An 11073-nucleotide genomic window follows, 5' to 3' on the forward strand; every position below is an offset into this window, starting at 1 on the left:
TAGAATGTGATCATATGAGTTTGCATATTTTAGATTGTAGAAAAGAAATGTTACCCAGGCTGGAATGCAGTGACACAATCTTAGCTCACTGCAACCTCCGCTTCCTGGGTTCAAACAATTCTCATGCCTCAGCCTCTCAAGTAGCTGGGACTACAGGCATATACCACCATGCCTGGCTATTTTTGTTTTTTTTTTTTTTTTGTATTATTAGTACAGACAGAGTTTTGTCACGTTGGCCAGGTTGGTCTCGAACTCAAGTGATACGCCAGCCTTGACCTCCTAAAGTGCTGGGATTACAGGCATGAACCGCCTTACCAAGAAATTGCTCCTCTTTTATTTCAGAATAGGTTGTAGGCTCTCACTCTTCTAGCCTGAACCCGTGAAGTACTAATATCCAAAAAACATTAATAGCACTTGCTGTGGAAAAATGATTACACATTTTAAAGTTTGATATAATTATAGTAAAATTACCATGCAAGGTGTTTACTTTTAATATTTTTACAAAAAAATTAAGTAACGATATATTAAATGGTAAATGAGTGTACTCATTTATTCACCTGCCTCATGTTTTCATTATAAACATCCTAAATTAAATCCTATTGTATCTTACACATTTCAATTGATTGTATTGTATTGCAGGATATGGAGATTTCATAATATACTACAATAAAGTGTATTTTGTTATATTTAACATATATTCTACTTGTATTTTATATTGAGGTCATACAATCTTTCATTATTTGTTTTAATTATTTGGTTGCTTTATAATTTTCATTATATGTAATAATGTACATTGATGTTGTTTGGAATTTTAAATTTCAAGATAATTTTGTCTTACTTTCATATGGAATTAGTGTTTACTATAGATGTGAAAAAGAGAATGACTTATCTTTATTTCTGTGTCATCCTAACCCTGACCTCCCCACTGCCCATAGCTCTTGTCGTAGTCGGGAAATCGTGTTCTGTCACTCCAGTAAACGGGGCGATTCGATGATACCACACAGATATAAATTGCAGATGTAGAGCTTTTGTTCAAGACCAGTGCAACGGAAAAAAATCACAGGCATGTGAGTCACACAATTTTCGGGTTGTCAGTGCTTATAAAAATTATGCTTAAACTGTGCTGTAGAATAAGTCTGAAACACCCTTACGTCTATTAAACAAATGCACATACCTAAATAACGTGTCTAAATGGGAATGTAAATATCTTCACGAAACGTACTTTGTTGCAAAGTACACTTGCAACAAATAACAGTAACACAGAGATACAGTAGCATCATATAAGGTTGAAGAAATAGAGATGAGAAGAAAAACAGAGACAGCGAGAAAGGGAGAGACGGAGAGAGGAAAAGACAGACGGCGGCGGGGACATTGGAGAGGAGAAAAGAGAGGGAGGAAGAGAGGCGGGAAAGACAGAAGAAAGGCAGGGGAGGCGCGACGGGGCGAGGGACGGGGAGGAAAGCGGTCTCCCGCCTCCAGGGCGGGCCGAGGGCTGGGCCCGCGGGGCGCTCACGTCCCTCCGGATCGCCCGCCTGGGTCCGCTCGCCGCGGAGAGAGTCTCAGCAGTTCCGACTCCCGAGGAACGGGCGACTTCCCGAAACACCCAAGGGCCGCAGCGCAGGCGGCCGCCCGCTTTCCGCCCGCGCGGTTCACGGACCGCACATCGCCGGGCCGGGCCCTGCCACGGAGCCAGAGCCGGATGCCCCGAACACGCAGGAGTCACAGGGCGACCGGAGCGTGACTTCGGATTCCACGTTGCTTTGCCCTCTGCAAGGGGCCTGCTGGCCACTATCAAGGTATAGCAATTGAAGCAGCATGACACTAGAATAAAAACAGACATAAATACAAATGGAATGAAATGGAGAACTTAGAAACAAACTCATACAGCTAAACTAAACCTATTTTCAACAAAAGTGTCAAGAACATACAACAAAAAATAAGACAGTTTCTGTAACAAACGGGGCTGGGAAAACTGGCAAGCCATGGGCAGAAGAATGAAACTAGAACCCTACTTCTTGCCACATACAAAAATGAAAATGAATTAAAGACTTAAACCTAACGCCTCAGACTGTCAAACTTTTACAAGAAAACATTGGGGAAACTCTTTAGGGCATTGGTTTGGGCAAAAATCTCTTAAACTATGCCCCATAAGCACAGACAACCAAAGCAAACATGGACAAATGGAATTACAGCAAGTAAGAAAGCTTTTTTAAAGTGAAGGAAACAATAAAGTGAAGAGAAAACCCACAGAATGGGAGAAAATATTTGTAAATTACCCATCTGAAAAGCAATTAATAGCTACATGATATGGTTAGGCTTTGTGTGCCCACCCAAATCTCATACTGAATTGTAATCCCCAGGTGCTGAGGGAGAGACCTGGCAGAAAGTGATTGGATCATGGGGGTGGTTCCCCCCAGGCTGTTCTTCTGATAATGAGTGAGTTCTCATGAGATCTGATGGTTTTATAAGGGGCTCTTCCCCCTTTGCTTCACATACATGCTCTCTCGCCTGCTGTCGTGGAAGAGGTGCCTGCTTCCCCATCTGCCATGATTGTGAGTTTCCTGAGGCCTCTCCAGCCATGTGGAACTGTGACTCAGTTAAACCATTTCCTTTATAAATTACCCAGTCTCGCCAGGCGCAGTGGCGCATGCCTGTAATCCCAGCACTTTAGGAGGCTGAGGCAGGTGGATCACGAGGTCAAGAGTTCAAGACCAGCCTCGCCAAGATGGTGAAACCCCATTTCTACTGAAAATACAAAACTTATCTGGGCATGGTGGTGGGTGCCTGTAATCTCAGCTACTCAAGAGGCTGAGGCAGAGAATTGCTTGAACCTGGGAGTTGGAGGTTGCAGTGAACCAAGATCATGCCAGTGCACTCCAGCCTGGGTGACAGAGCAAGACTTCATCTCAATACATAAATAGATAAATAGATAAATAACCCAGTCTCAGTTTTTTTTATAGCAGTGCAGAAACAGACTAATACACTACAATATATTGAGTTCAAAATATTCTATAGAAAAATTCTAGTAATCCAGTTAAAGAGTGGACAAAAACTTAAATGAACAGTTATGAAAAGAAGACATACAAATGGCAAACAGACAAGTGAAAAGGTGCTCCACATTACTATCATCATAGAAATGCAAATCAAACCCAAAATGAGATACCATTTCACCCCAATTAAGGTGGCTTTTATTTCCAGAAGTCAGTCAAAAACAAATGTTGCTAATAGCCAAGATTTGTAAGAGACCTAAATGTCCATCAGCAGATGACTGGATAGAGAAAATGTGGTACATATACACAGTGGAGTACTATTCAGCTATAAGAAAGAATAAGAGTCTGTCATTTACTGTAACATAAATGGAACTGAAAGTCTTTATATTAAGTGAAATAAGTCAGGCACAGAAAGACAAATGTCAGATGTTCTCACTTATTTGTGGGTGCTAAAATTAGAAACAATCGATGTCATAGAGATAGTATAAGGATGGATACTGGAGCTGGGAAGGGCAGTGTGGGAAATGGGGGATAGTGGGGATGCTAAATGGGTACAAAAAATTTTTAGAAAGAATGAATAAGACAGTATTTGATAGCATAACAGGGTGATTATAGTCAAAAATAATTTAATTATACATTTTATAAAAACTAAAATACTATTTTAATTGGATTGTTTATAACACAAGCTATAAATGCTTGAGGGGACAGATACCCTGTTTTTTATTATGTATTACTCATTACATGCCTGTATCAAAGTATGTCATGTACCCCCATAAATATATACACCAAGTATGTACCCACAAAAATAAATTAAAAATTAAAATTAAAATTAAAACCAAAGCGAGGAGAGTATAATGAGGCATATGTGACCCATGGCTTGAACTAGCTTTTCAGGTTAACTTTGGAATGTCCTTACCCAAGAAGAGGGTTCCATTTAGTCAATAGGGGTTTAGAAATTAATTTTTAGTTTATAAGTGGAAAAAAGAAGGATTTTTAATCCTGAGCCATAGCTCTCAATCAATCCCTGCAGGGAACCCTGTTCTTTACTCTGGAGATAAACACTAGTTTTCTTTCCCACTGAATAACACCACGTTTCAAAATGAGGGGAAACATCTTGAGACTAAGATGTACAGCCTTGTTAAATTTGATTTGATTTCAATTGTAATTAATTTAATCATGTATGTTCTAGAGTTTGTCTTCAGTCTTCTCCTACTTTAGGCCCATGATCTGTTGAATTTGCTCAGCTCCCTGCTCAATAGCAGGAAATCAGAATTATCTAAAAACCTCATTGTGGCTGTCAGCGGTGGCTCATGCCTGTAATCCCAGCAATTTGGGAGGCCAAGGTGGGCAGATCACTTGTTGTCAGGGGTTTGAGACCAGCCGGCCAACAGAGTGAAACCCCGTCTCTACTAAAGATACAAAAATTAGCTGGGTGTGGTGATTCATGCCTGTAATCCCAGCTACTTGGGAGGCTGAGGCAGGAGAATCACTTGAACCTGGGAGGCGGAGGTTTCAGTGAGCCAGGATGGTGCACCGCACTCCAGCCCGGCAGCAGAGCAAGACTCTGTCTCAAAATGATAATAACAATAATTAATAAATAAAAATCTCATTGTGTTCCAGACAAAATTTCTTTTGCATATCAACTGTGTCAACTTGCATATTAACTATAATCATTTGTTACTTTATATCCAATCCTGAGAAATCTCTGAGGACTAATTTCACTCTTTTCTGCCATTTTGGTAAACATACCAAATGCCATCAAACAAAATGCACAAAATTCCTGAGAAATACATTTTCTCCTTGAGGAGTAGACTTGCTGTATTAGAGGAACTCATGGTTACCAAGCTTCTAGTTTAATACACATGACTAGAATACTCTATCTTAATATGAGTAGCTAGGTACTCACCAGGCATCTAGAAGGTTAATACCTATAGTCTGAAAATAGTCACATTTTTTAGCTGGCCACAAATTACAATTGCAGAATATTTATGGCCACACAAGACATCTTCCACCAAGCCTAAAAAATGTATAAATGTCCTAGGAGTGCAGCATTTTTTCTTAAAGATAATATTAATGAGCTAGCTTAGGTCAACGGGTTAATGGTCATTGTTAAAACCAATAGCCCCGACTTTAGTGAGTACATCTGCACCTTCCAAGTTTAATTATAACTCTTTCTCTTTATAGTTACTTATAAGTACAGACACTAACAAAAGACAATGCATTCCTGCTCTTGTTTTCTGAGGATGTCCAACTCCGTAATGGAGTCATTTCTAATAAACTTGCTTCTTTCACCTCAAATTTCTTCCTGCACAAGATCTAAGAATCCTACTTTGTGGTCTGTATCAGGACCCTCTTTTCCAGCAACATCTTTCAGCAATGCCATGAAGGGACACCAAGACAAGACCCCCACTCCAAGGAAAACAGTCCACACAGAATCAATCAGCTGGCAAGTGGGCTGTCTTTTAGAGTCGTGAAGCCATTCAGGTGGGCAAGAATGATTATCCACTATTACTTAAGTGAGAGGCCCTAGGGTATAATGTTAGGGTGAGAGACTCAGCCCAAAGTTAGAGACCTGGGGGTGTCATACTCAGATTAGAGGCCAAGCTCACAAGGTTAGAGGCCCTGGGGTATATTGAGAAGAATGGATTTGGCTAAACAAGATGTTTGCCACTTTCTCTTTTTGGACTGTCCACCTTGTGCTCTCTGTCCCTCACCTGAGTGCTCTGCATCTTGTCACCTTTCTGCTCACCACCTCTGTTTTCTAGTAGCCTGGAGGCTGCCCCAGGAAAGAGGCCCCAAACAGTTTAGCTTTTACTTTTCTCAGTGATCCTCTGACTTTTAGCTGACTGCTTATTTAATTTGCCACTGGTCCAAGTGACACAAAAAAAGAGATGTCTTGGAACCTAGACAGAAAAGATCAGCAGTAACCTCTCCATCATTATGACTAGAAGTTGAAATGTATTTAACAGCCCTACATGATAAGATCAGATACGCCTGTTTAGTGAGAGCCTGTTTTATGACAACCCTTTGCAAACAGTTAGCCTCAAGATGGAGAACATGAGACTTTTTCTTAACAGTTTTCTCTCATTTCTTAACCATAAGGCCATCTTTGATGAGCTGGTATAGGGCAGCTGGACCCTACTTTCTAAACCCAGCATGTCACTTTTTTCCCGAAAGAGTTTTGTCAGTTTTGTCATAGCAGTTTTGTCATAGCATAGTCCATTTTGAAAATGGACTAATACATTACAATATACAAGTTACAGCCTTCCCATTTCCCCTGTTTGGCCTGACTTCTTTTTTTGCAGCTTAATTTGTTTTATAGAAGAGAAACTAAGTGGGAGGAAATACATTATATACAGGCTTCTCTGATGCTTGATCAGGATAAAAAATTAAATTGGGCTTCTATATGTTTGATGGAGGAAAAGACAAAATAGGGATGGCACATAATTGATTACCCTTTTAATGCAAGTGCCTCTTAATATCAGGCTTTTCTTAGCTGGGGCTGAACTCCCCCTGCCAGTCTGAGCACCCCATAAGAACACTGTCAGACTCCTTCCAGTTCTGGTGAGGTGTGCAACATGTTATTAATTCCTTCTAGTTTTCCAGGGTTATCTAGTGTCTGGTCATCCTCTTCTCCCTGCCCTTCGAGTCCTGTCTTACATACACACCCCACTCTCGAAACACCCGAGCTTCACCAGAATAACATGCAGTGGGGCCTCTTATCAGCTGGCAAACTTGAATGTTTGCCCTCTCTGGGAAGTGACAGATGATAATAAGGACACTATATAGGTATATGTACCCTTTTCTATGTCTGAATTAGCCATATGCAAGGAGAAACTAAAACAGTTTTCAGAGGTTCTGGGAAAACTCATAGACTAATTTAAGAGGCCAACCTGGATGTATGATTTGCCCAGGCAGGATTTGCATATATTTATGTTTACCTGCTGCATGGTAGAAAAGCAGTGCATTATAGGAGTGGCTAGAGTACATGCTAATAGGGTGGCAGCCTGCAACCAGGGACATGACACCTATCAAGTAGGAGGCACAGCAGTGCCTGACTAGGACCCAAAAGAGAACTAGAATCTAGAAAAGACAAATGAATTAGGAAGAAAGTGGGATATAGAGAGATATAGAAATTGGGATAAAAAATTATGATCATTTGACTCCTTGAAGGAATAAAACCTAGCCTTATTACAAGGGTGGATAATTTAGACTTTGAGGAAATACACCAACACTGACCCTGACTCCAAGAAGGGACAGGTATTGCTAGCAGTTTATTTTATAGCCCAGTCTGCTTCTGATATCTGCAGGAAGCCACCAAAAGCAGCCTTAGACTTCCAGACTCCCATGGATCAGATTTTAGATTTGGATTGTGCAGTTTTCCATCACAGGAATAGGGCAGAGACAACATAAAATAAAGCAAATCTCGCAAGAGGCCCAGCTTCTAGCTGCAGCCTTGTGCTCTCCACCACTTCAGAGGCAGCCCCTTAACCCCTGGCCCTTTCTGCATTATGGTGGTGACCACTGATGACCGTATACCTGGCCGTCGAGTGACCGGCTGTGCTGTCTTACAGGTCAGTGTGGGGCCGGAAACAACTGGGCCAAGGGACGCTACACCGAAGACACGGAGCTGATGGAGTCAGTGATGGACGTTGTCAGAAAGGAGGCTGAGAGCTGTGACTGCCTGCAGGGTTTCCAGCTGACCCACTCCCTGGGTGGGGGGACTGGGTCTGGGATGGGTACCCTTCTCATTAGTAAGATCCGGGAGGAGTACCCAGACAGGATCATAAACACATTCAGCATCCTGCCCTCGCCCAAGGTGTCAGACACCGTGGTGGAGCCCTACAACGCCACCCTCTCAGCCCACCAGCTCATAGAAAACACAGATGAGACCTTCTGCATAGATAACGAAGCGCTGTATGACATATGTTCCAGGACCCTAAAACTGCCCACACCCACCTATGGTGACCTGAACCACCTGGTGTCTGCTACCATGAGTGGGGTCACCACGTGCCTGCGCTTCCCGGGCCAGCTGAATGCTGACCTGCGGAAGCTGGCCGTGAACATGGTCCCGTTTCCCCGGCTGCATTTCTTCATGCCCGGCTTTGCCCCACTGACCAGCCGGGGCAGCCAGCAGTACCGGGCCTTGACTGTGGCTGAGCTCACCCAGCAGATGTTTGATGCTAAGAACATGATGGCTGCCTGTGACCCCCGTCACGGCCGCTACCTAATGGCGGCTGCCATTTTCCAGGGTCGCATGCCCATGAGGGAGGTGGATGAACAGATGTTCAACATTCAAGATAAGAACAGCAGCTACTTTGCTGACTGGCTCCCCGACAACGTAAAAACAGCCGTCTGTGACATCCCACCCTGGGGGCTAAAAATGTCGCCACCTTCGTTGGGAATAATGCGGCCATCCAGGAACTCTTCAAGCGTGTCTCAGAGCAGTTTACAGCAATGTTCAGGTGCAAGGCCTTCCTCTACTGGTACACGGGCGAGGGCATGGATGAGATGGAATTCACCGAGGCCGAGAGCAACATGAACGACCTGGTGTCTGAATATCAGCAATATCAGGATGCCACGGCCGAGGAGGAGGAGGATGAGGAGTATGCCGAGGAGGAGGTGGCCTAGAACTCTCCTTTTCTAGGTAAAGGGGGGAGGCAGTGTGGGTTCTTCACTGTGTTCTGACAGCCATGTGTCACTATGCGCTTGTTCATTTGTGTCTTCACATCTCCTGCTGCGTTTTAAAGCATTTTTATAGTATGCGGTTTTGCCTAATAAAGCATTTTCACAGCATCTGGTTTCACCTCCATCTTCTTTCTATGGGCCCTCTGGCTACTGCTGCCAGATGCGCATAGTTGTCCTGCAAGGCAGAAGCTGTCTGGGCTTATCACATGCCCAGGAACAAGCATTCCAGTGGCTCCAGGAGGGCTCGGCATGGGCTGTGGACATGGCAGGCAGGCTTCACATGAACTTGGGGATGCCCTGGGCCTTGGGCAGCGACGTGGTGGAAAACCTGTTCCTGAAGGCAAGCCTTGGCTTATCCCATGTGCCAAACTTCTAGGGGACCAGCTGGCCATGTTTCTGGAACTTTAAAAGGGGTCAGCGAACCCTGCTGGACAATGTCCCCAGAGTCCCATCTCGGGGTAGGAATGTGGTCAGACAGCTGGCTCTGAACCAGCAATGAAGGGTGGGCAAGTGGGACCCCAGCGACTCCATCACCACGATGGCCTGGGTGTGATTGTGTGGCCTCATTCTCTTCACGAGGTGGGCATGGGATATCTGGCAGGGACTAGGCAGGGATCAAGCCCAGTGTCTGCTAACATGCACTGAACCCCAAGTAGAAGGGGATTAGGTCCTGGGGGCCGTAGATGTGGTTGCTGGGCCTGTGACATGCACTGAACCTGATGTAGAAGGGGATTAGGTCCTGGGGGCCGTAGATGCGGTTGCTGGGCCTCTGTGCTCAGGGCAGTCCCTCCAAAGGCACAGATGGGGTTTCTGAACAGGACCTGGGGAGACAGGCAGGTGCTCACAAATGCTGCTTCCCCCAACTGGCAACCAGTGAGAAAAACGCCTGAGTGGAGGTCTGACCTGCCCCAGTCTGGAGGGCTGATGCTCTCTGGAAAGGTGGCTAATGCGTACTGTCTGCTGTCTCCCTGTCCCCCACTCCAAAACCTCAGGGCAAAAATAATCCAAGATTGCCAGGATGAGCCTGGTGAGGGTGGCACCTTTGGGGACAGGCCCTTCAGCCTGGCAGAGTCTCCTCCCCAGGCTTCTTGGGGAGCCTGGACTGCAAAAGCCTGCTTTGGGGAAGCTGTCAAATGAGAGCTGTGTGTGTGAGCTGGGCGCTGGGCAGCATGCACGGACAGTGTTCTTCTCCCTGGCTCTTGTAGAACTTGTCCACGGCCTGTGTGATGGTCTCTTGGTAATTCCCACCCCCACCCCCACCCCCAGCCCTATCGCACAGATAAGATGAAGCCAGCATAGCCTGGGGGTGGGCAGATGAACAGGTTCTACCCCAGGTCCCCTGGGAATGCCCACCTGCCTCCGACGTGTCAGGGAAAACAGGTGAGGCCCCTTCTTGTTCTCTGAATGTTGTCAATGGTCTATTGCAGCCAAATGGGAACAGGCAGGCAGGAGAGTGTCTCATCTCAAAAGAAGTGGCTCCTGGAAGCAGCTGGGAGGTGGGAGAGGTTCCCCACACTCGCCCACACTCGCCCACACTCGCCCACACTCGCCCAACCTGTTCTAAGAGCAGGAAAAGGGGCCTTTGTGACAGCCCCTCTCAGTGGCAGCCCCTCTCAGTGGCTCTCACTGTCTGAGGGGTGTCCTTGCCCAACCCAGGTGCGCACCCATCTGAGATGGTCTTGCATGGACCTGGTTAGGAAGGTTCAGCTGCAGCAACCACCGGAACCTGCCCACACCTGGTGTCTCCACTCACGTGTGGGGCTAGATGTTCCTCCCTCCTGTAGTGGTACAGCCAGACTGGCAGAGGGGGCAAGTCACCACTGCAGTTCCCACCTAGGTCTGATGGGGGGTCAGGCTTGGTGCCCATGTATTTCCCAACTACCTGGTTCCATGTGGGGGCTTCATGGACAGGAGTGGTGCTTTTCCAGGCCTCTTTTCCACATGCCAGCTACAGGCCCAGGTTTCCCAAGTTTCTGGAGCCCCTCTTCCAGCCTGGCAAGCAAGTCGTGTTGTAGGGGAAGGACATCAAGCCTACAGGCAGCAGAACCTGTCTGGGTATGTTCTCTCCACCTGGAGGCCCCTGGTTGTTTACCTCTTTGGGTGAGAGTCAGCTTAGGATCTCAACATTCTTGTAGGACTTCAGAACTGTACAGACAGGGGTCCAGGAGGGAACAGGGGCTGGGACTGGCAGCTAACCAGAGTGGTGGGTGTTGTAGGGCTGTTTGGTCTTGCGGGGAATTCAGGGAGGCTTGGATTTGCTGAAGCTGTAGACGAGCTTGGGCTTGGATACGGAAACAGCATAGAGCAGGGGCCCTTCTGCACACTGGACTCTGAGTAGTTGCACCCTGGTGTATCCACAGGTGTTCCCCACCTGGAGCACAGCTGTGGATAGAAG

At 45.8% G+C, this 11073-nt stretch overlaps 1 pseudogene, besides 1 other annotated feature; it reads left to right on the top strand.

The window, feature by feature from the left end:
• On the top strand, positions 7564-8790 carry TUBB8P8 (tubulin beta 8 class VIII pseudogene 8; annotated as a pseudogene).
• Positions 8695-9196: an enhancer, noted in NCBI's record as "H3K4me1 hESC enhancer chr3:197847723-197848224 (GRCh37/hg19 assembly coordinates)". NCBI's record gives its function as "activates a minimal SCP1, AML or CMV promoter by ChIP-STARR-seq in naive H9 embryonic stem cells {active_cell/tissue: H9 hESC(naive)}" and the evidence as "EXISTENCE:reporter gene assay evidence [ECO:0000049][PMID:30033119]".

This window comes from Homo sapiens, chromosome 3 (genome assembly GCF_000001405.40).
Source record: "Homo sapiens chromosome 3, GRCh38.p14 Primary Assembly".
Lineage (NCBI taxonomy): Eukaryota > Metazoa > Chordata > Mammalia > Primates > Hominidae > Homo > Homo sapiens.